This window comes from Homo sapiens, chromosome 16 (genome assembly GCF_000001405.40).
Source record: "Homo sapiens chromosome 16, GRCh38.p14 Primary Assembly".
NCBI classification, from domain to species: domain Eukaryota; kingdom Metazoa; phylum Chordata; class Mammalia; order Primates; family Hominidae; genus Homo; species Homo sapiens.
Window position 1 is genome coordinate 57,274,916 of NC_000016.10, and position 24,759 is coordinate 57,299,674.

A 24,759-nucleotide genomic window follows, 5' to 3' on the forward strand; every position below is an offset into this window, starting at 1 on the left:
CATGCCCGGCTAATTTTTTGTATTTTTAGTAGAGACGGGGTTTCACCGTGTTAGCCAGGATGGTCTCAATCTCCTGACCTCGTGATCCGCCCGCCTCGGCCTCCCAAAGTGCTGGGTTTCAGGCGTGAGCCACCACGCCCGGCCAAGAGTGGTTTCTTATGTGTGTCTCCAGGGACTTCACACACACACACACACACACACACACACACACACATGCATTTCAGATAAGTGTGTCTTGTATCTGTGTACTTCTTCCACACAAATGATAGCATGCTACAATTTTGCACCTTGCTTTTTTCACTTAAATAGGTAGCCTGGAGATTGTCCATCCTTATACACAGAGCTGTTGCATTGTCTTCTTTGAGGGGTGGGGGGATATCTTTTTACTCACTGCATCATGCACCATTGTACAGATGTATCATAATTTATCTAAACTAGTCCCCATTGATGAACTTGTATATATCACATATATAAGCTAATTTTAAAAAGGAAACTTAAATCACTAGGAAGTGGGAAACCTGTATTATCTGTCACAATAGAAGCTAACAAGGTAATTAAATACAACAAATATGTAACAATGTTAATACATTCCAGACAGATACAACTGGAGTGAAAAAGACTGAACTATGATTCAATTTCCAGAACCCAGAAAGAAAAAAGGAAGAGGAATGAAATAAAGAAATTCAGCAAAAAAAAAAAAAACACTACAACAAAATTTTGCAAGGCAAAAAAAAAAAAAAAAAAAACACCATGAGAGGGGGAAAAAAACCCAGCAAAACAAACAAATTAGGAAAGAAATATTTGCAAATAATCCAGAACTCCTAGCAGTTATTAAGGCAAAGACCAACCACACTCAGTAGAATGAGCAAAGAATACAAACAGACAAGGAAATACAAACGGCTCTTAAACATCTTTTAGATCCTGGCGCCGCGCCTTGCATTTATAATTTCAGCACTTTGGGAGGCCGAGGCAGGAGTACTGCTTGAGCCCAGGAGTTCGAGACCAGCCTGGGCAATATAGTGAGACCATGTCTCTACCAAAAATTAGCTGGGCATGGTGAGGAGCACCTGTAGTCCCAGCTACTCGGCAGGCTGAGGTGGTAGGATGGCTTGAGCCCTGGAGGCGGAGGTTGCAGTGATTCCTGATCGTGCCACTCCACTCCAGCCTGGGTGACAGAGTGAGATCCTGTCTCAAAAACCAACAAACAACCCAAACACATTTTTTAAAAGGTCAACCTCACTGATAAGAGACTGAAAATAGGCTAGGTTTGGTGGCTCATGCCTGTAATCCCAGCACTTTGGAAGGCTGAGGCAGGCAGATCATCTGAGGTCAGGAGTTCGAGGCCAGTCTGGCCGACATGGTGAAACCCTGTCTCTACTAAAAATATAAAAATTAGCTGGGCATCATGGCTCATGCCTATAATCCCAGCACTTTGGAAGGCTGAAGCAGGCAGATCACCTGAGGTCAGGAGTTCAAGACCAGCTTGGCCAACATGGCCAAACCCCGTCTCTACTAAAAATACAAAAATTAGCCGGGCTTGGTGGTGGGCGCCTGTAATCCCAGCTACTCGGGAGTCTAAGGCCAGAGAATTGCTTGAACCCAGGAGGCAGAGGTTGCAGTGAGTCAAGATCATGCCACTACACTCCAGGCTGGGTGACAGAGTGAGACTCTGTCTCAAAAAAAAAAAAAAAAGAGAGAGAGAGAAATGAAAATAACACTACATTGACCTATCATTTTGGTCTATTCGATTGGGGCACATCCAGAAGTGTGTTAAATCACCATGTTGGGAGGCTGTGGGAACAGGAACCTTCCAGGAGGCATGCTGTTGCAGGCAGGAAGGGTGTGACCTCTCCGGAAGGCATTTGGCAATCTACATCACAATCCCAAATGCATGTATCCTCCCACCCAGTAGTCCCACTCCTGGAAACATATCGTACAGATGCACTTGGTGGCATTTCTTGCAGCAGGGTGCGCAACAGCAAAGGAATAGAAAACCCGAAGTGTCTGTCAACAAAGGGACTGACCACACAGTCACACCACAGCTGCATGGTGGAATACTATAGAAGCCATAAAGAAAGAAGCAATTGCACTCCACACACTGAGACAAAAGGACCCCCAAGATTCATTTTTTAAGTGTAAAAGAAAAAGTGCAGAAGGATGTGGCTAGACTATATATCTTGGGGAGACTATATAAACTGGGAGAGAGAGGAATCTAGAGCCACATTTGCATAGGTCTCCTTAAAGAAAGTCTTAAAATGGGATATAGAAAACTGAGAGTGGGCATGAAGGAGTCAACTTTAACCAAAAGGGAACAGAGATTTTTCACTGTACTCCTTCCCTGTCTATTTTATTCTTGAGCATTGTAAATACATTACCTATTAAAGAAATTAGGGGCCGGGTGCGGTGGCTCACGCCTGTAATCCCAGCACTCTGGGAGGCCGAGGCGGGCGGATCACCTGAGGTCAGGAGTTTGAGACCAGCCTGATCAACATGGTGAAACCCTGTCTCCACTAAAAATACAAAAATTAGTCAGGCCATGGTGGTGCGTGCCTGTAATCCCAGCTACTTAAGAGGCTGAGGCAGGAGAATCACTTGAACTTGGGAGGCAGAGGTTGCAGTGAGCTGAGGTCACGTCACTGCACTCCAGCCTGGGTGACAGAGCAAGACTCTGCCTCAAACAAACAAAATAAAAATAAAGAAAAAGAAATTAGGTAATAAAGGTATGAAAAAGATGGACACAGCTTGCTGTGCACTGATACAGAATATCCCTAGGTGTATTGCCCTGGGGAAAAGCATGGCTTGGCACATGCCCAGACAGCACCTATCTGTGGTTAAGTGAGGATGTGGGTTTTATGTAGAAATATGCATCCACTCACCCTGGAATGAGACACAAGGCATGTGGTTGCCTGGGGTGAGGGCAGCTGTGGGGCGTGGTCAGTCAGGGATGAGAGAGATTACATTTTCTTGATTACCCTTTCTACTATTTGAGTGCTTTGTATTATGTCTCTGTAATTTTTTTTTCAAAGAATAAAACAATTCCATCAGTAGAGAAACAGCTAAATGAGCAGAGGCTGCCGGGACACTACGGGTTACTCCACAACAGTTTACAAGGAAGGAAGACAAGTCTCAAAACATGAAGAGTGGCCAGGCACGGTGGCTCATGCCTGTAATCCCAGCACTTTGGGAGGCAGAGACAGGCAGATCACCTGAGGTCAAGAGTTCAAGACCAGCCTGGCCAACATGGTGAAGCCCCGTCTCTACTAAAAATACAATAATGAGTTGGGTGTAGTGGCAGGCACCTGTAGTCCCAGCTATTCGGGAGGCTGAGGCAGGAGAATGGCGTGAACCCGGGAGGCGGAGGTTGCAGTGAGCTGAGATTACGCCGCTGCACTCCAGCCTGGATGACAGAGCACAAGAAGAGCTCTCAGATGCACCAAGTATGAGAAAAGCAACTTGCTGAACAAAGGATACAGAATAAAACTATCAATGTTTTCAAAAGTGCACAGGAAAAAAGACTAGAAACACCCCAAATAGTTGTCCCCTTAGGGACAGAGGTGGGTAATCCAACTACAGCTTTAGTGTAATCTGTACAGGTTTTTTTATTTTGTGAGGAGAATGTATTCATATATTCATAATGTAATTACACATTAATTCCCAAACACTCAATACTCCCCCCCTTGCAGTAAGTGGGGAGTGTGGGGGGAACTAACAATACAAGGCATTTATTGCTCTGTGCAGTGGAGCTGGGTTGGATGAAGATATTGGGCATGCGGGGCCTGGAATGCTGTACTAAAAAGACTGAACCACCCACAAATCTCAGTGCTAAGGGAAGCCCCGGGAGTCTCAGACATTGCAATCCGAGTGTGACCAAGCCCTGCTCACACCTCACTCGGACTCCAACAATCTCATCTAGGTAGCCCCTTCCTGGAGACCAGAGTTGGCTTTCAGTCCCTGCCCTGCCCTTCATCTGCAGAGGAGCTGGTCTGCCTCCTGGGGCCGGAGACAGAGCCGGTATCACCATAAGGAAGAACTTTCCAACACTCCCAAGTGCCCAAGGATGGAGCAGGCAGCCTTAAGAAGAACTGAGCTCCCTGTCTCTGGAAGCATGCAAGTTCATGTTGGAGATGCTGCAAAGGCACCTCTTATGCTTGCATAAGAACCCTCGGATCCTATAACCCTGTGAATCCAAACTGTCCTTCATTCCCACATATAGTGCTAGGCTAGCTCTTTGCAGGCATGATCTAGATCCTGCCATCACCATCTGACAGACAAGGAAGTGAGGCTCAGGGAAATTTGGGAACTCCCCCAGGATCATGCAGCCAGAAAGGGACAGAGCCAGGATTTGAACCCAAGGCTCTCAGCGTCCAGGCCTGTGTTCCCATCAGCACTCTCCATGCCACCCCATGGATCATGGAGATCTAGGGAAGGCTTCTCTTCTTCTTCTTCCTTTTTTTTTTTTTTTGTTAAGAGTAGAGGACTGGGTACAGTGGCTCACACCTGTAATCTCAGCACTTTGGGAGGCCAAGGCAGGTGGATTGCTGGAGCCCAGGAGTTCGAGACCAGTCTGGGTAACATGATGAAATCCCATCTTTACAAAAAATATAAAAACTTAGCCAGGCATTGTGGCATGTACCTGTCGTCCCAGATACTCAGGAGGCCTGAAGTGGGAGGATCGTCTGAGCCTGGGAGGTTGAGGTTGCAGTGAGCTGTGATCACACTACTATAGTCCAGCCTGGGTGACAGAGCAAGACCTTGTCTCGAGGAAAAAAAAAAAAAAGTAGGGGTCTTACTCTGTCACCCAGGCTAGAGTGCAGTGACGTGATCATGGCTTACTGCAGCCTTAAACTCCAAGGCTCAAGCAATCTTCCTACCTCAGCCTCCCAAGTAGCTGGAACTACAGGCATGTGCCACCCTGCCACCTGCCTAGCTAGGTGAGGCTTTTGATCTGTTATTCACCTGCAAAGTGGGAATTGTGTGGCCACCCCCAATCCCAGGAGGTGGGGCAAAATGGAAGGACAGAAGGTACCAAACCAAATGGCCTTACCGCCACAGGGCATTCACACAGCTTCCACATCCTGGGCCTCAAGGACGCCTACTGACTGACAGGTCTCTGTACAAGCTCTGGTCTGTCCTGATCCTCCTTCTCCCTTCCTATGCCAGGAAGCCCTCCCTGATGGCCTTGGCCCCTGATGAGTCTCCCTTCCTGCAGTCCCCCTTTTCCCCCTAGAAAGCACTCTAGAACTTCCCACCCCCAAAGTAAACAAGATGAGGAAGCATAGCTAGAGCCAGGTTTTGGATTTCCAGATCGAAGTGCAAAGCCAAGCTTGCCACTCTATCCTGTGTGACCTTGGACAAGTTCCTCACCCTCTCGGAGCCTATTTACTTATCAGTAAATCCAGATAAGATCATCCTTCTCCCCACGGCTTGGGGAGGCTTGAAAAAATGAGAGATGGGCACCTAACAGCACTACTTTATACTTATTGTAAAAAGGCTTTGGGAGCTCCCCATAAGCAAATAACCACGCCTTCTGCATTCTTCCACCTGAGCTACACAAAAATCTGTAGCACTGATGCCTTTTTTTTTTAAAACCAAAAGAGTTATCTGTAGATCAAACTTGCCTGCCTTGTGACATGAATCCATTGGCAAGAGAAAACAAAACAAAACAAAACAAAGACCTGCCTCCTTTTTTAGACGCTATCTGCATAGATTCTTCATGTTTCCCTTTTTGCCTAGGCTGCTAGGAAGTTCAACAAATAATCAACAGCCTTAAACTTGCTGCAAGTCAATTCTCCCCTCCACACCACCAGCTTTTAAAGATACATCGCTTTAACTCTTCTGTCTTATGTGGTTTAATATCATATTCCATCTGGTGTTCTTTCTGAATCTACAAGGAATAACGATAGTGATAAATCAATGAACACCACCAGACATCTGTGAAGAATACTGAGATTGGTTCTTCAGGACACATTCTGATACCGAATGAAAAGTGTATCTCCTTCTCCAGGAGCTGGGAGCCTTTCTACCCACCTCCCCTTCCTCCCACCATACCAGGAACATTCATCAAATCCTGGGAAACAGAAGGGTTTGATGGAGAATTAGCTTCCATTTTCTCATTTATTTCCTGCTCCATGCAGCCTTCTCTGATCCCTCTGGGAGAAGCACATCCTCTGGGCACCTCTCTCACTGACCAAGAGCTCCTGGAAAGCAGGCTGTGGGCCCAGGGTCCCCACCACTCCCTCCATAATGACAGATCCTGGGAAGGTAGCAGCAAAGCCACACGTGGTCATTAAGACCATAGGCCAGAAAAGTCAGAAAAATCACTCCTGTGGAGGAGGGCTGTGAGATCTTGGGCAAAGAACTGGCCTCTGAGCCTCAGTTTTCTCACCTAAAATGGGGCCGACTAAGAAGATCTAAAGGCCTTGGCAAAGGGCCTGAGCCTAGTGCTGGCCTGATAGATGGGAGCTACCATGGCTTCCCAGCAGATGGTGGTGCCTGTTGGATTAACCCCCACATATCCCATTTCAGACCCAGTGGAACTACCTGTTGCCAGAGAAACAGCTCAGGATGCAGCTTCTCCAACAAGCAGATTTTTTTTTTATTTCTTTTTTTTTTTGAGACGGAGTCTCTTTCTGTCTCCCAGGCTGGAGTGCCGTGGCGCCATCTCGGCTCACTGCAAGCTCCACCTCCCGGGTTCACGCCATTCTCCCGCCTCAGCCTCCCGAGTAGCTGGGACTGCAGGCACCCACCACCATGCCAGGCTAATTTTGTTGTATTTTTAGTAGAGATGGGGTTTCACCCTGTTAGCCGGGATGGTCTCCGTCTCCTGACCTCGTGATCTGCCCACCTCGGCCTCCCAAAGTGCTGGGATTACAGGCGTGAGCCACCACACCTGGCCCCAACAAGCAGATTTCTAAGGCACTAAAATGTGCAGGTCATTTTCAGAACTCTGATGGAAGACCCTCATCCCCTCAAAGGCACTGCAGGTAGGGAGCAAAAGGAGCCCACTTCCCTCACACCCAGTCCCTGAGAGTCAAGAGACCCAAGTGCCAAGCTCTATTACAGGACTCCTGGCAAGTCCTTCTAACTAGACCTCAATGTCTACGTCTGTGTAATGGGACCCAGATGCGCAGGGCTGGATTGCTGAGGCCACAGGGGATGCCCCCACCCATCCCAACCCCAATCAGGAACACAAGCCTGCCCTAGAGGAAGCTACCAAGACCCTTGCGGCCCACAGCAGCAACATCCTCCTCTTACTCCAATGCCTTCCATTCCCCCTATTGCCCCTATTGCTAGTCTCTTTCTTTTTTCTTTTCTTTTTTTTTTTTTGTGTGTGTGTTTGTCTGTTTGAGACAAAGTCTCATTCTGTCACCCAGGCTGGAGTGCAGTGGTGCGATCAAAGTCACTGTAGCCTCAAACTCCCAGGCACAAGGGGTCCTCCTACCTCAGCCTCCCAAGTAGCTGAGACCACAGGCGCATACCACCATGCCTGGCTATTTTTTTTTTCCTTTTTTTTGTAGAGACAGGGTCTCAATATGTTGCCCAGGCTGGTCTTGAACTTCTGGCCACAAGCAATCCTCCTGTCCATCAGGGGCCAGCCTCAGGATCCACCTCACCAGGGATGCTGAGGGATCCCTCACAGGGATCTTGCCAGTCATCATCCTCCACCCAGCAAGATCCCTCTTCTGTTCCAAAACCTCTTAAGGCCACCAACAGAACCTAGACCCTGTAGCTCGCAGAAGTTACACAAGGCCCTTGGCTTCTGTCCACACCAGAAACAAGTGCTTCAACTCCAGCACCACCAACCTGTTGGCTACTCCCTGCAAATTAATTCAACTTTCTCATCACCACATCTTGGCTCACACTGTTCCCTGCCCTTGGAACACCCTTTCCCTGCGTCTGCCTCAGATTTCAGTGAAGTCTCTGCTCAAAAACCACCTCCTCCAACAAGCCTTCCTGGTCGTGAAATTGCTCTCCTTCTCCTCTGCCCTTTCGCACCACTTCTCACACCCACCTGGCTCTCCCCTGGGCAGCCAGGCAGCTGCTCATGGCTGTGCCCCTCACAACCAGCCCAGAGCAGAGCATTCTAGCGGTGGCGGGGTCAGTGGCTCTCCCCATCTGCAGAATTAAATGATTCCAGGAACTAGACCTCTTCCCTCAGAAGACAGAATCTTCTCCCCTTCTCCCCCACCCCCCAAAAGAGAAACAAACAAAAAACTCTGGGAGAACTGTTAAAAATGAATTTCTGGCTGTACTTCCTGAGATTCAAATTCCGATTGCACATTTTTTTCCGGGGGTGGAGTCCAATAATCTAAATTTTAAACAAACCCGCCAGGAGATTCAGAGGTTGGGGAGGGGGCCCACAGAGATCTGAGAAATCCTGAAATGAGATAGCACTGACCCAGGTAGAGGTGGGCCCGCACCTGGAGAGGTCAGGGAAGGGAGACTGGACCTCAGCCCAGGGTCTGGCACCAAAGCAACCACCCTGCCCTCTAGCTTGGGCCTCGCAGCAGCGCTAGCACCCAGCAATAGGAGACAATGGGAAATGTCCACTCGCTGGATTGCTAAGAAATACAGGTCCTGGCCCAACTCCAATTCCACCTGAGTCCTCTGAAAATGTATCAGGCCCTCACCCACCCAGGGCACCCACCCAGCTTCCAGACCCTCACGAAAGGGTGGCAGAGGAAGAAGCTAACATCCGGGCCTGTGGCTGGTGTGGGAGTGGAGGATGTTCCCATGGGTCCGCCTCAGTTGGGGTCTGTACAGGGGTCTGGGAGAGAGTAGGAGTCTTGCCCCTGGCTACCCACAAACCCCTCCCTCCAGCGATATCTCGGTCCCGTGGGGCTGGCTAAACCGGCTGAAACCTGGCGGGTCACCCAGAGAAAGCTAGAAGAGCCCGGCTCCCGCGCGGGCGCCCACAGGGTAGTGCCTGAGTGTGCGTGTTGGGGAGTCGGATGTGCCCTCTAGATTAGATGAGGAATGTTCATGGGTGCGGCCACCCGGAGCCGCTGGGAGCGGGACAGAAGGTGGTCAGAGAGTGGACTTTGCCTCAGACTGGGTTCCCTAGAGGGCTGGGGGCACTGTCCGGGCAGAAAGAGGGGTGAAAAAGAGAGAGGAGGGAAGGGAGGGCTGGGAAGGGTTGGCGGGTTGTGCGCAGTGACTGTGGCTCCGGTGGGGGCTTCTGTGGCCGCTGGTAACCACCTTGGAGGGGGCACGATGGGGCACGGGCAGTGGGCACTCTGTACACGGTGCAGGGTGCTCACGCTCGCAGCGACGGCCACGGGGTAGTGTCGTGGTGAGAGGGATGCAGGGCGATCTTGGGGGCGTCCGTGCGGGAAGCGCCCTAGGGGTACGCGCAGCGCGTCGGTGACAGTGTGAGCCCGGGTGGGGAGCGCAAGGTTCGCGAAAAATGAACGCAGCGCCGGAGTCCCTCACCCATCCTGGCCGGACCGGGAGCCCCCGGCCAACCCCGTGGGCCCGCGCGTGCTCTCACCAGCTGCAGCAGCATGAGCGCCCCGAGGCGGGAGCGCACGAAGCCCAGGTCCGGGCGCAGCGCCGACACCGAGGCTTCGGCGCCCTGCGCAGGACTGCTGGTCCGCGTGCTAACTTTCGACGGGAACTCGGCCATGGCGGCTCCGCTTGCCTCCCGAGGTCGCTACGGCCGCCGTCGCCGCCCCTCCAGCGGTGGGTGCCGGCTCCCGCGCCGCTTTTCCCCCAGGCTCCGGATCCCTGTGTGGCTCCAGGCGCTGCAGGAGGCGTCGGGGCTGGGAGCCTGGGGCGCCAGGTGCGGCCGAGATCCCGGCTCCGCCCCCGCCGCCGGGGCCGCCCCCTTAACCCTTTGCTCGCCGCCGCCGCCCCAGCCGCGACCGGTTCGTGGGCAGCCGCGTCCACTCCCCGGACCAGTAAACAACCCCGGGTCCGTGAATCGGCTCCGCCAGCACCAGCCTAGACCGCTTCGCCGGCCTCCCCCGGGGCAAGCCGCCCGCTGGGAATTTCCCGGCTCTCGCCCAGGCCGTGGTAGCTTCCGCGCCTAGGGATAAACTTGTGGTAGCTCGCGGGGGACACCGCTCTCCCAGGCGCTTTCTACGCGCTGTGCACCCTCGGCCTAGGCCCCGGCGCAGCGACTCTTGAAGAGTCCCGGGAGAAGGCTGGATGCGGTGGCTCCTGCCTCTGATCGCAGCACTTTGGGAGGCTAAGGTGAAAGGATAATTTCAGGCCAAGAGTTCGAGACCAGCCTGGGTAACACAGTGAGACGCCCCCCCTCCCCCCGTCTGTATTTTATAGAAAAGAAAGTAAAGAAGAATCCTGGGAGACCCAGCGCGGGGAAGGGGAGGGTCTGGGTAAGCGGTGGGTAAGCGGTAGAAGGGGGAGGTCCTTTTCTGCCTATTAATGCTGTTTTCACTTCTGAACATATTTTATATAACTTAGATGATCGCGGAGCCTCAGTTTCCTCGTCTGTCATATAGATACGAAGGAAACCTGCCTCACAGAGCGTTGTAGGGAATAAATGAAATATTCCCCAGAAAGCTCCTGACAGCGTGAGGGAGGAGGGGTCACTCAGAAGATGGGAGGTCATATACAGTTTCATTGCCACACATGCACCCTAAAATACTTACACACACACACACACCTCTTGAGCCTAGAGGTTTGCACAGATAGGTCATCATGCATTCATCAACCAATGTTTGCTGAACACCTACTACATGCCAGGCCCTGTGGATACAGCAGGAAACGAAGTAGACAAGGCCTTCTTGGCTCCCACATTTTTTTTTTCCCAAATACCCACTTAAAAAGAGAGCCACTTAAAAAATTGTTTTTAACTGACATGTAATATTAGGTTGGTGCAAAAGTTATACGGTTTTTGCATATAAAAGTATAGCAAAAACCGCAATTACTTTTTCGGCAACCTATAATTGTACCTAAATATGGGGTACCATGTGATGTTTTGGTACCTGTGTACGTTGTGTAAAAAAATCAAATCAAGGTACTTAGCATATCCATCACCTCATACATTTATGGCTTCTTTGGGGTGAGAACATTCAAAATCCCCACTTCTAGCTACCATATTTTGAAATATACAATATTAGGGCCAGGCGCTGTGGCTCACGCCTATAATCCCAGCACTTTGGGAGGCCAAGGCAGGCAGATCACCAGAGGTCATGAGTTTGAGACCAGCCTGGTCAACATGGCAAAACCCTGTCTCTACAAAAATACAAAAAAATTAGCCAGGCATGATGGTGGGTGCCTGTAGTCCCAGCTACACAGGAGGCTGAGACAGGAGAATCACTCGAACCCAGGGAGGCAGAGGTTGCAGTGAGCTGAAATCATGCCACTGCACTCCAGCCTGGGTGACAGAGCCAGACTCCATCTAAAAACAAAAACAAAAAAAGAAAAGAAATGTACAATATTGGTATTTTTTTCTTTTTACTTTTATTTATTTTGAGGCGAGGTCCCACTCTGTCACCCAGGCTGGAGGGCAGTGGCATGATCATAGCCTACTGCAGCCTCCAACCCCTAGGCTCAAGTGATCTTCTCACCTCAGCCTCCCTAGTAGCTAGGACTACAGGTGCACGCCACCATGCCCAACTAATTTTTTTTTTTTTTTGAGATGGAGTCTTGCTGGAATTACAGGCTCGAGCCACCATGCCCAGCTAATTTTTTGTATCTGTAATAGAGACTGGGTTTCACCATGTTGGCCAGGCTGGTCTTGTGATCCGCCCACCTTGGCCTCCCAAAGGGCTGGGATTACAGGCATCAGCCACTGGGCCCAGCCCTGACTAATTTTTTTAAATTTTTTTGTAGAGATGGGGTCTCTCCATGTTGCCCAGACTGGTTTCGCACTCCTGGCCTCAAGCGATCCACCCGCCTTGGCCTTTCAAAGTGCTGGAATTACAGGTGTGAGCCACCATGCCCAGCCCTAACTGTAACTTTGTACCTGTTAACCAACCTCTTTGTATCCTCCCACTACACCCCAGCCTCCTGTAACCACTATTCTACTCTACTATGAGATCAATTTATTTATTTATTTATTTGAGATGGCGTTTTGCTCTTGTTGCCCAGTCTGGAGTGCAATGGCGCGACCTCGGCTCACTGCAACCTCCGCCTCCCAGGTTCAAGCAATTCTCTTGCCTGAGTAGCTCGGATTACAGGCGCCCGCCAGCACGCTAAGCTAATTTTTTGTAATTTTAGTAGAGACAAGGTTTCACCATGTTGGCCAGGCTGGTATCAAACTCCTGAAATCAGGTGATCCACCTGTCTTGGCCTCCCAAAGTGCTGGGATTACAGGCGTGAGCCACTGCACCTGGCCGAGATCAACTTCTTTATTTCATTCCACATATGAGAGAGACCACGTGGTGTTTGTCTTTCTATGCCTGGCTTATTTCACTCACATGATGTCCTCCAGGTTCATCTGTGTTGCCACAAATGATAGGATTTCAGTCGTTGGATCCCACTGTCTGGTGGGGATGAGAAGTAATAAACCCGGGAGGAATAATACTTTCAGATAGTGACAAACGCTGTGACTAAAGTAAAATGGGGGAATGTGACACAGAGTCACCCACAGGTGATTTCTGGGTTAAGGTGGTCAAGGAAGACCTGTGGGAAGAGGTGACATTTATGCAGAGACCCAAATCATGAGTAGGGGCTAGCCTTGGGAATTCTGGGGGAAGAATTTAATAAGTGCAGGAGCCCTGAGGCTGGACCAGTTTTGAGAACAGAAAAAGGTCCTTGGTAGGGCTAGAGCCAAGTGAGTAAGGGTGAGATTGGCAACACGGGCCAGGGCCGGATCACACAGGCTATTTAGAGGACTGTATTAGTGCCCTGTGGCTGCTCTAACTTGGTGACTTAAAACAACAGAAATTTGGCCAGGCACGGTGGCTCACGGCTGTAATCCCAGCACTTTGGCAGGTGGATCACCTGAGGTCAGGAGTTCCAGATCAGCCTGGCCAACATGGCGAAACCCTGTTTCTACTAAAAATACAAAAAAATAGCTGGGCGTGGTAGTACACGCCTGTAATCCCAGCTACTCAGGAGGCTGAGGCAGGAGAATCACTTGAACCCGGGAGGCGGAGGTTGCAGTTAGCTGAGATTGAGCCATTGCACTCTAGCTTGGGCAACAAGAGTGAAACACGGTCTCAAAAAAAAAAAAAGAAAAGAAAACCCAGAAATTTACTCTCCTGTAGTCCTGGAGGCCAGAAGTCTGAAATCAGTTTCACTGAGCCAAAATCTTCCAAAATTTGGGAAGAGCCAAAATCAGGTGTCCTGAGGGTCATGCTCCCTTTGCAGAGTCTAGAGGAGAATCCCATCCTTGTTCTTCCAACCCTGGTGGGGCCTGCTGGCATTCCTCAACTTATGACTGCATCAACCCTGTCTCTGCCTCCTACGTCACATGGCCTCCTCCTTTTCTGTATGTATAACATCTCTCTCTGCCTCTCTTATAAGGACACTTGTGATTGTGTTAGGGCCACCCAGATACTCCAGAATAGTTTTCCTCAAATAAAGAATCTTAATTTGAGGCTGGGCGCAGTGGCTCATGCCTGTAAACCTAGCACTTTGGGAGGCCAAGGCAGGAGGATGGGTTTGGCTCAGGAGTTTGAGACCAGCCTGGGCAACACAGCAAATACCCCTGTCTCTAAAAAAAAAAAAAAAATTGGCCGGGCGTGGCGGTGCACACCTGTGGTTCCAGCTACTTAGGAGGCTGAGGTGGGAGGATTGCTTAAGCCCCAGGAGGTTGAGGTTACAGTGAACCATGTTTTTGCCTCTGCACTCCAGCCTGGGTGACAGAGCAAGACCCTGTTTCAAAAGGAAAAAAAAAGAAAAAGAATCTTAATTTAGTCACTTAATCTGTAAAGACCTTTTTACTTTATAAGGTAAAATGGACAGGTTCCAAGAATTAGGATCTGTTCTGTTTGTTTGTTTGAGACAGGGTCTCACTCTGTTGCCCAGGCTGGAGTGCAGTGGTGCCATCCTGGCTCACTACAACCTCCGCCTCCAGGTTTCAAGCAATCCTCCTGCCTCAGCCTCCTGAGTAGCTGGGACCACAGGTCCTTGAGCCACCATGACTCACCAATTTTTTGTAAAGACTGGGTTTCACCATGATGCCCAGGCTGGTCTCGAACTTGAGCTCAAGCAATCCTCCTGCCTTGACCTCCCAAAGTGCATGAGCCACTGATACATCTTTTAGTGGCAATTATACAGCCTACCACAATGATGGAGAAGGGCTAACATTTTATTTTAAGGCTTGGAGTGTTTTTTTTTTTTGAGACGGAGTCTCGCTTTGTCGCCCAGGCTGGAGTGCAGTGGCGTGATCTCAGCTCACTGCAAGCTCTGCCTCCCGGGTTCACGCCATTCTCCTGCCTCAGCCTCAAAGAGTAGCTGGGACTACCGGCACCCGCCACCACGCCTGGGTAATTTTTTGTATTTTTAGTAGAGATAGAGTTTCACCGTGTTAGCCAGGATGGTCTCGATCTCCTGACCGCGTGATCTGCCTGCTTTGGCCTCCCAAAGTGCTGGGATTACAGACGTGAGCCACTGCGCCCGGCCAAGGCCTGGAGTGTTTTAAGCAGGCGAGAGACAAGCTCTGATGAACACTTTAAAAATATCACTGGTTGATGCTGACTTAACCCTTTACTCAACGGGATGTTCAACCCCCTCCCCTCAATGCACCTGAGCCCCTTCCCCTGTCCCAGCACCCCACTTGCAGTAGGTGCTCTGGAAATGAGGAGTCTTCTTGGTAGCTGCAAAATTGTTACTCAGAGACCAGCCTCTCTGCAGACAAGTCCAAGTGCAGAACAAAGCTCGGGTGAGCCCTTAATTTTATTGTGACACAGAAAACAAAAAGATGATTGTTTCTGAGGCAGATTCTAAAACAGTAGGGTGTTTTTGTTTTGGTTTTGGTTTGGATTTTGTGGGTTTTTTTTTTTTTGTTAATCCCACTTTCATTCTTTTCAAATGGCAGCAAGCAAGACTGAAAAGACTGAATCACTCCACTGTTTTTCACTTTGACATTTTCTCCCAAACCAACTTCACTCGCCCCCCAGTCAGAAAAAGTGGGAAGGAACCTGTCCCCAGACTGGAACCAGCTGCCCACCCACAGTCTCCGCTGGCGCCACGGGGTCCTGGATTCTTAGGATGGGGTGGGGGGACAGACAGCCTGTCTACTGCCAGGACCGGCCTCCCCTTCCCGGGCTCTGAGCAGCCTATCTCCACACGGGATACCTGCAGTACATGTCTTGCCTCAGTTTTCTCCAGTTCTACAAAAGTTCCCTGCTCTGACCTTATCCCCACTGCGTACTGGGCCTGCCCAGCTGTGGCCCCAGCTACTCAGCTACTCAGCAGTGGGGGTTCAGGCACGAAGCAGATGTTTAGTGTGTGCCTCGGGAGTGCCAGGCCCTGGGGATGGAGCTGTGAGCTGTGATGAGGGCCCCCACCTTCAAGGAGTCTAGTGGGGGAGACAGACAGTCTAGATGTACAAACCCACCAAGAAATAGCAACTCACCAGTAGTGATGATGTCACCACAGAAAAAGGGCAGGGAGCCAGGGGAGAGAGTAATTCTGAGGATTGGGAGTTGTCATTTAGATAACTGGGTCAAGGAAGGTCTAAACATTTTAGCAGAGACCTGGAGGATGAACAAGAATCAGACAGGAGAAGAACATTGCAGGCAGGGAAAACTGCCTTCTGTGCAAAGGCCCTGAGTCAGGGAAGACTTTGAGATCTCTGAGGAAGCACCGAGGGATAAGAGTTGGGAAGATAGGGAGAGATGAGGTTCAACAGGCAGCCAAGAGTCAGATCACTTGGGTCTTAAACCACTGAAGGATTTACACTATTAGATTTACAATTGTTGTTGTAGCTGGGTGTGGTGGCTCACACCTGTAATCCCAGCACTTTGGGAGGCCAAGGCAGGCGGATCACCTGATTTCAGGAGTTTGAGACCAGCCTGGCCAACATGGTGAAACCCTGTCTCTACTAATACAAAACAATTAGCCGGGTGTGGTGGTGCATGCCTGTAATCCCAGCTACTTGGGAGGCTGAGGCAGGAGAATCACTTGAACCCAGGAGGCAGAGGTTGCAGTGAGCTGAGACTGCACCATTGCACTCCAGCCTGGGCAACAAGAACAAAACTCTGTCTCAAAAAAAAAAAAAAAAGACAATTGTTGTTGACACAGGGTCTCACTCTGATGCCCAGGCTGGAGTGCAATCGCATGATCATGTCCCTCTGCAGTCTTGAACTCCTGGGCCCGAGTGATCCTCCCAGTTTTACTTCCCCAGTAGCTAGAACTATAGGCGTGTACCACCATGCCCAGCTAATTATTTTATTTTATTTTTATTTTTAACTTATTTTTACCATTTGTTGTTGAGACGGACTCTTACTCTGTTGCCCAGGCTGGAGTGCAATGGCGCAATCTCAGCTCACTGCAACCTCCACCTCCTGGGTTCCAGTGATTCTCCTGCCTCGGCCTCCAGAGTAGCTGGGACTACAGGCACCTGCCACCACGCCCGGCTAATTTTTTTGTATTTTTAGTAGAGATGGGGTTTCACTGTGTTAGCCAGGATGGTCTTGATCTCCTGACCTTATGGTCCACCCGCCTTGGCGACAGGCCTAATTTTTTTTTTTTTTTGAGATGGAGTCTCCCTCTGTCGCCGGGGCTGGAGTGCAGTGGCACGATCTCAGCTCACTGCAACCTCCACCTCCTTCTCCTGCCTCAGCAATTCTCCTGCCTCAGCCTCCCGACTAGCTGGGACTACAGGCACCCGCCACCACACCCAGCTAATTTTTTTTTTTTTTTGTATTTTTAGTAGAGACAGGGTTTCACCGTGTTAGACAGGATGGTCTCGATCTCCTGACCTCGTGATCCACCCGCCTTGGCCTCCCAAAGTGCTGGGATTACAGGCGTGAGCCACCGCGCCTGGCCTAATTTTTTTATTTTTTGTAGAGACAGGGTCTCGCTGTGTTGCCCAGGATGGTCTCGAACTCCTGGCCTCAGGGAATCATCCTGCCTCGGCCTCCCAAAGAGCTGAGAGCACAGGCTTGAGCCATCACACTCTGCCTTTTACAATTTTAAGAAATTCACAGAAAGGTTCCCATGGGAGTTCATCTAACAGCTTCCAAAAGCCAACTTCAACGAGTTGCTGATTGCAGTCAACAAATATTGATTGAGTACTTTTCCAACTGGCCCTATGCTTGGTGCTGTGGGAATGGTTCCTTTTTTTTTAAAATACATTTTATTGTGTATATATAAGATATACAATATGTTGTAAGATACATATAGAGTAAAATGGTTACTGTAGTGAAACAAACTAACATATCCATCATTTCACATGGGTACCCATTTTCCTCCCTGTGGCAAGAGCAGCTATAATCTGCTCATTTAGCAAAGATCCTGAATACAACACACTGTTATTAACTATAACCCTCATGCTGTACATTAGGTCTTTCCACTTCTTCATCCTACATGTTTGCCACTCTGTACCCTTTGACCTACATCTCCCCATTTCCTAGTTAGTTTTGAGGGCTTTTTTTTTTTTTTTTTTTGAGACAGAGTCTCTCTCTGTCACCCAGGCTGGAGTGCAGTGGCGCGATCTCGGCTCACTGCAATCTCTGCCTCCCGGGTTCACGCCATTCTCCTGCCTGGGACTACAGGCGCCCGCCACCATGCCCGGCTAAGTTTTTGTATTTTTAGTAGAGACCGGGTTTCATCGTGTTAGCCAGGATGGTCTCAATCTCCTGACCTCGTGATCCGCCTGCCTCGGCTTTCCAAAGTGCTGGGATTACAGGCGTGAACCACCTACCCAGCAAGATCTAGCTTTTGTGCTCAGCCTCTGGGTGTTGACCTCTAAACCCTTGGAATGTCATATCTGATAGTCATTGTTTAGGGTGGAGCTGGCCACACCTGATAGTCTAACAATGTGGTTTAGCCTGGGGTCTGGCTGCAGCAGGTCACCGAACAGTGTGGCTTAGGGTGGAAGCTTTGGGACACAAGATATGGACCCACATAGCTGGACCTTAGGAGGAGCTGGAGTCTGAGATTTGCCACCTGGGCAGTCAACCCTGCCTGCATGATGGGACCTCAATAAAGACTCTAGACACCAAGACAGTGAGTTTACTAGGGTGGCAATAGTCTGTGCACATTGTCACACATTGATGCTGGGAAAGTAACGCTGTCCCTGATTCCACAGGGAGAGGATAATGGAGGTTCCAGGTTTGGAACTTTCCTAGCCCCTTCCCTATACACCATTTCCCTTGGCTGGTTTTAATCCATATCCTTCAGCTGTAATAAACTGCAGCTATGGTTATACAGCTTGCAGCGAGTTCTGTGAGTCCTGGCTGATTATGGAACCTAAGGATGGTTTGGGGAAACCCTGAACTCTGTCGTTGTGTGAGCAGTGTCACTCAGCCACCTTGTTTATGCTTTTCTTTTTCTTTCTTTTTTTTTTTTTTTTCTGAGACGGAGTCTGTCCTCTAGGTTCGAGTGCAGTGGTGCGATCTCAGCTCACTGCAACCTCCGCTCCTCGGGTTCAAGCAATTCTCCTGCCTTGGCTTCCCGAGTAGCTGGGACTCCAGGCCTGCGCCACCACACTCAGCTAATTTTTGTATTTTTAGTAGAGACAGGGTCTCCCTATGTTGCCCAGACTGGTCTTGAACTCCAGGGCTCAGTGATTTGCTCGCCTCGGCCTCCCAAAGTGCTGGGATTATAGGTGTGATCCACCGAGCTCAGCCCAGCCAATATGTTTTACTTTATAAGACATTGTGAAACTGGCTGGGTGTGAATGGTTCATGCCTATAATCCCAATCCCAACACTCTGGGAGGCGGAGGCCAATGATGGTGAGGGCATCATTTGAGGCCAGAAGTTCGACACAGCCTGGGCAACAGAGTGAGAGAGACCCTGTCTCTATTTTTTAAAAAACAAAATAAAATTATATATACATATAATAATTCAAGGGATTCTCCTGCCTCAGCTTCCCAAGTATCTGGGACTACAGGTGTGTGCCACCAAGCCTGGCTAATTTTTGTATTTTTAGTAAAGATGGGGTTTTACCGTGTTGGCCAGGCTGGTCTCAAACTTCTGACCTCAGGTGATCCACCCACCTTGGCCTCCCAAAGTGCTGGGATTACAGGCATGAGCCACCTCACCCAGCCAAATAATAATTTTAAAAAGATATTGTGGCCGGGCACAGTGGCTCACGCCTGTAATCCCAGCACTTTGGGAGGCCGAGGCAGGCGGATCACAAGGTCAGGAGATCGAGACCATCCTGGCTAACACAGTGAAACCCCGTCTCTACTAAACATATAAAAAATTAGCGGGGCTTGGTGGCGGGTGCCTGTAGTCCCAGATACTCGGGAGGCTGAGGCAGGAGAATGGTGTGAACCTGGGAGGCAGAACTTGCAGTGAGCCGAGATCAGGCCACTGCACTCCAGCCTGGGCACAGAGCGAGACTCCGTCTCAAAAAAAAAAGATATTGCAAAACCGTTTTCCAGTGGCCGGGCGTGGTGGCTCACACCTGTAATCCCAGCACTTTGGGAGGCCGAGGCGGGCGGATCACGAGGCCGGGAGATCAAGACCATCCTGGCTAACACGGTGAAACCCCGTCTCTACTAAAAATACAAAAAAAAAAAAAAAAAAAAATAGCCGGGTGTGGTGGCGCGCGCCTGTAGTTCAGCTACTCGGGAGGCTAAGGCAGGAGAATGGCGTGAACCCGGGAGGCGGAGCTTGCAGTGAGCCGAGGTCGCCCCACTGCACTCCAACCTGGGTAACAGAGCGAGACTCCGTCTCAAAAAAAAAAAAAAAAAAAAAAAGAATCAATGTTTGGCCAGGCACGGTGGCTCAAGCCTGTAATACTAGCACTTTGGTAGGCGGGGGCAGGTGGATCACTTGAGGTCAGGAGTTTGAGACCAGCCTGGCCAACATGGCAAAACCCCGTTTCTACTAAAAATACAAAAGTTAGCTGGGCGTGGTGGTGGGCGCCTATAATCTCAGATACTCAGGAGACTGAGGCAGGAGGGTCACTTGCAACTGGGAGCCGGAGGTTGCAGTGAGCCGGGATTGCACCACTGCACTCCAGCCTGGGCAACAGAAGGAGACCCTGTCTCAAAAAAAAAAAAAAAAAAAATTTCCAAAGTGGCCTCACCATTTACATTCCCATTGGCAATATATGAGAGACTTCTAGCAGTAGCTTCTCATCCTTGCTAATACTTAGTATTGCCAGTTTTTTTAAAAAGCCATTCTAATAGGTATGCAGTAGTGTCTCATTGTGGCTTTACTGTTTATTTCCATAATAACTAACGATGGTTGGGCATCTTTTCATGTGGTTATTAGCCATTCATATATCTTCTTTGCTGAAGTGTCTCTTTAAAGCTTTTGCCCATTTTAAAATTGGGTTGTCTCCTTATAATTGAGATATAACTGGATGCAAGTGCTTTATCAGATATATCTGATTTTAAAAAATCTTGTGAATATTTTCTCCCAGTCTGTGGCTTGTCTTTTATTTTTTAACAGTGTTTTCGGCTGGACTGTGGCTCACACCTGTAATCCCAGCACTTTGGGAGGCCCAGGTGGGCTGATCGCTTGAGCCCAGGAGTCTGAGATCAGTGTGGCCAACATGGTGAAACCCTGTTTCTACCAAAAAAATACAAAAATTAGCCAGTCATGGTGGTGTTCCTGTAATCTGAGCTACTTGGGAGGCCAAAGTGGGAGGATCACTTGAGCCCAGGAGGCGGAGGTTGCAGTGAGCCGAGATCACGCCACTGCACTCCAACCTGGGTGACAAAGCCAGGCTAATTTTGAAGAGCAAAATTTTTATTATTTTTTTTTTTTATTTTAAAGATAGGGTCTCCTTCTGTCACCCAGGCTGGAGTCCAGTGGCATGACCATAGCTCACTTCAACCTCAAGCTCGTGGGCTCAAATGATCCTCTCACCTCAGCTTCCCAAGTAACTGGGACCCCAGGTGTGAGCCACCTTGCCTGGCTATTTTTTTTTTTTTTAGAGTCGGGTCTCACTATGTTGCCCAGGCTACATTTGTGTCACAACTAATGAGCCAATATTGCTACATTGTTATTAAATACTTATTCAGAGTTCTTCAGTTTTCTCCCAATGTGCTTTTTCTGTTTCCAGGATACCATCTGGGATACCACAGTACATTTAGTCATCCTGTGTCTATAGACTCCACTTGGCTGTGACAGTTTCTCAGACCTTCCTTGTTTTGGATGACCTTGAACATTTTGAGGAGTACTGGTCAGGGTTTTTTTTTTCTTTGTTTTGTTTTGTTTTGAGACAGAGTCTCACTCTGTCACCCAGGCTGGAGTGCAGAGGCGTGATCTCACATCCCTGCAACCTCTGCCTCCCGGGTTCAAGTCATTCTCCTGCCTCAGCCTCCCAAGTAGCTGGGATTACAGGCACGCACCACCATGCCTGGCTAATTTTTGTATTTTTAGTAGAGACAGGGTTTCACGATGTTGGCCAGGCTGGTCTCAAACTCCCGACCTCAGGTGATCCACCTGCCTCAGCCTCCCAAAGTGCTGGGATTACAGGTGTGAGCCACCACACCCGGCCCTGTTCAGGGGTTTTGTAGGATGTTCCTCAATTGCGATTTGTCTGATATTATTTTGTCATGATTAGACTTTGAGTAATGTATTTTTGGAAGGAAGACTACAGAGGTAAATTGCCTCTCAAGGATACCTACTATCAATGGAACCTATCAATGTTGATGTTGACCTTGATCACCTAGTAAGATTGTATTTATGTATTTATTTTTTATTTTTTGAGATGAAGTCTCACTCTGTTGCCCAGGCTGGAGTTCAGTGGCACAATCTTTGCTCACTGCAACCTGTGCCTCCTGGGTTCAAGCAATTCTTCTGCCTCAGCCTCCCGAGTAGCTGGGATTACAGGCACGTGCCACCATGCCTGGCTAATTTTTGTATTTTTAGTCGAGATGGGGTTTCACCATGTTAGCCAGACTGGTCTCGAACTCCTGACCTCAAGTGATCCACCTGCCTCAGCCTCCCAAAGTGCTGGGATTACAGTTGTGAGCCACCGCGCCCGGCCCATTTCTGGTTTCTACTTAGCTTTTTTCACTTAACTCTTTGTCTTGAGATTTTTCCGTGGTATGAACCCTTTTATTTTTTTATTTTTTATTTTTGTAAAGTAGGTTTGTGTTATTTATTTCTTTCATCACACAGTAAATATGGACCAAGCCCTATTATGTGCCAGGCCCTAGCCCCAGGGGTCCGGCTAATCACCAAGCCACAGATGGGGGGTGTTAGGGAGAGCCATTAAAAAAAGGATTACCCAGATAATGTGTTCATTACAGATGTGCTTGGATGGAGATCCAGGGAGCTGGGAGAGTCTGTGCCAGACAACTCGATTTGTAGGGGTGAGCAGGGAAGGCTTCCCGGTGGTGGAAAGATCTGGAGTGTGAGGGTGGCCTTCTTGGTGTTGAACAGAGAGACAAGGCCCTGGCCAGAGCTGCCTCCAGAGAAGCAGAGAGGGGCACAGGTGGGAGAAGTTCTGATCCCTCACTTCCTGGGGTCCCTGAGATCCAGCAACCTGCCTGCCCACCCTTCCCTCTGTCTCATGAGCCAACAAATCTCCCTTTTTTGCCAAAACGAGGGCAAGCTGAGTTTCTGTCTTTTACACCCAAAGAAACCGATGAATGGCGTTACAGTCCCCCAGCGTTTTTGGCACCAGGGACTGGGACTGGTTCTGTGGAAGACTATTTTTCCAGAGGAGGTAGGGGTGGGTTAGGAGGGTGGTTTTGGGATGATTCAAGCACATTATGTTCATAGTGCACTTTATTTCTATTATTATAACATTGTAATAGATAATGACATAATTATACAACTCACCATAATGTAGAATCAGTGGGATCCCTGAGTTTGTTTTCCTGCAACTGGACGGTCCTATCTGGAGGTGATGGGAGATCATCAGGCATTAGATTCTCATAAAGAGTGTGCAGCCTAATCCCTTGCACGCACAGTTCACAATAGGGTTCACGCTGCTATGAGGATCTAATGCTGCCCCTGATCTGACAGGAGGCGGAGCTCAGGCGATAATGCAAGCGATGGGGAGTGGCTGTAGATACAGATGCAGCTTCCTTAGCTTGTGTGTGGCTCACCTCCTGCTATGCCGCCGGTTCCTCACACGTCACAGACCGCTATAGGGGTTAGGGACCCCTGCCCCAACTCCTCCCTTCCTTCCTGTATGGCTGAGAGAGGTGAAGTGATCTACCCAAGGTCACACGGCAGGAATTCAAACGCAGTACTTCTCAACCTGTTCAAGGTTTAGCAGGGGCCTCCGGGATCCACCAGCCACGTTTGTGATGAGGGGGGAGGTGAACTCAGAGCAGTTTTGGGGAGACTGAACAGCGAAGTGGTGGGGAAAGTTGGTTTCAGACCAAAGATATTATAGAAAATTACCCCTGGATGGAATCTTCCAAATCAAATTGTGCTTTAGGGCACTGGTAGAATAATGAGTCTCCTCATCATATCCTAATCTCTGGAACCTGTGGCTCTGTTACTTTAAATGGTTAAAAGAGAGTTTGCAGCTGTGGTTAAATTAAGGCTTTGGGCCGGGCGCATTGGCTCACACCTGTAATCCCAGCACTTTGGGAGGCGGGTGGATCACTTGAGGTCATGAGTTCAAGACCAGTCTGGTCAACATGGCGAAACCCCGTCTCTACTAAAAATACAAAAATTAGCCAGGCATGGTGGTGTGTGCCTGTAGTCCCAGCTACTCAGGAGGCTGAGGATGAGGCAGGAGAATTGCTTGAACCCAGGATTCGGAGGTTGCAGTGAGCCGAGTTCGTGCCACTGCACTCCAGCCTGGGCAACAGAGTGAGACTACTTCTCAAAATAATAACAATAATAATAATAATGGATTTGGAGATGGGGTGATGACCCTGGGTTATCAGACAGGCCCAGTGTAATCACAAGGGTTGTTATAAAGAGGTTAGGCAGGAGGGTCAGAGTCAGAGAAGGTGATGTGAAGACAGAGCAAAGTTTGGAGTGGTGTGGACTGAGGAGCCAAAGAATGTGGGTGGTCTCCAGCAGCTGGAAGAGGAAAGGCAATGGATTCTCCCTTCTGGCCTCCAGACGGAATGTAACCCTGTGACCCATTTTAGACTTATGACCTCCAGAACTGTAAGATAAATAAATGGGATGGTTTTAAGCCACCAAATTTGTAGTTATGTGTTACAGCAGCAATAGAAACTCTTGAATCTCCTTGGCAGCATTTCCACCAAGTGACCATCGATCCTCGTCTTGAATGCCTCCAGCGACAGGGATATCACTACCAATACAGTCACCCTGTTTCCTTTCCAGCAAACTCTTTCTTCTCCCAAACCCATCCTCTGTAACTATTCACCCACTGCACCCCCACCTCGGGCCCCAGTTCTTGGAGCAAAAAGGACAGGCAGACACAATCCCAACCCCTTGTATATCAGGCTTTTGTAGACAGATAATAATTCTCTTCCCCAAGCTTAACAATCTCCAACTTTTTCCCTTGATCAGCTTATTAGAAAGGTCTAAAAGCCAACTCTTTCTGAATGAGGCCCTAGGTAATCATTTGCAGAGTGGGATCTCCCAACCCAAGGCCTCCCGTCCTGAGGAGCGGATGACAAAAACCTTATAGAGCGTCCTCCTTCCAACAATAATTCTCCAAACCCCGCCCCCTACTCCGCCAGTGCCCCATTCACAGCCCGAAACATCCGACCGGTATTAGTAATAGTTCATAATACCACCACTTGAGGCTCAGAGCCTGGGCAGGCAGC

At 49.3% G+C, this 24,759-nt stretch overlaps 1 protein-coding gene across 1 annotated transcript in view, besides 5 other annotated features; it reads right to left on the bottom strand.

Moving 5' to 3' along the window:
* The window catches only part of PLLP (plasmolipin), a 28,576-nt gene extending 18,819 nt beyond the window's left edge, over positions 1-9,757 (bottom strand). Inside the window, exon 1 of the mRNA NM_015993.3 lies at positions 9,491-9,757. Coding sequence (NP_057077.1) covers positions 9,491-9,625 — 135 coding nt within the window. The 5' untranslated portion in view covers positions 9,626-9,757. The remainder of the gene's footprint in view (positions 1-9,490) is intronic.
* Positions 1,762-2,056: a silencer, noted in NCBI's record as "tiled region #12895; K562 Repressive DNase matched - State 8:EnhW". NCBI's record gives its function as "represses a minimal TATA promoter and a strong SV40 promoter by Sharpr-MPRA in K562 cells {active_cell/tissue: K562}" and the evidence as "EXISTENCE:reporter gene assay evidence [ECO:0000049][PMID:27701403]".
* Positions 8,835-9,496: an enhancer, noted in NCBI's record as "H3K27ac-H3K4me1 hESC enhancer chr16:57317662-57318323 (GRCh37/hg19 assembly coordinates)". NCBI's record gives its function as "activates a minimal SCP1, AML or CMV promoter by ChIP-STARR-seq in primed H9 embryonic stem cells {active_cell/tissue: H9 hESC(primed)}" and the evidence as "EXISTENCE:reporter gene assay evidence [ECO:0000049][PMID:30033119]".
* Positions 9,541-9,950: a silencer, noted in NCBI's record as "silent region_7527". NCBI's record gives its function as "represses an Ori minimal core promoter by ATAC-STARR-seq in GM12878 lymphoblastoid cells {active_cell/tissue: GM12878}" and the evidence as "EXISTENCE:reporter gene assay evidence [ECO:0000049][PMID:35858748]".
* Positions 12,200-12,412: a silencer, noted in NCBI's record as "fragment chr16:57321027-57321239 (GRCh37/hg19 assembly coordinates)". NCBI's record gives its function as "represses an EF-1alpha promoter that drives an FKBP-Casp9 reporter gene in an ReSE screen in phorbol 12-myristate 13-acetate-treated (for megakaryocytic differentiation) K562 erythroleukemia cells {active_cell/tissue: K562(+PMA)}" and the evidence as "EXISTENCE:reporter gene assay evidence [ECO:0000049][PMID:32094911]".
* Positions 17,742-18,036: a silencer, noted in NCBI's record as "tiled region #5344; K562 Repressive DNase matched - State 9:DNaseU". NCBI's record gives its function as "represses a minimal TATA promoter and a strong SV40 promoter by Sharpr-MPRA in K562 cells {active_cell/tissue: K562}" and the evidence as "EXISTENCE:reporter gene assay evidence [ECO:0000049][PMID:27701403]".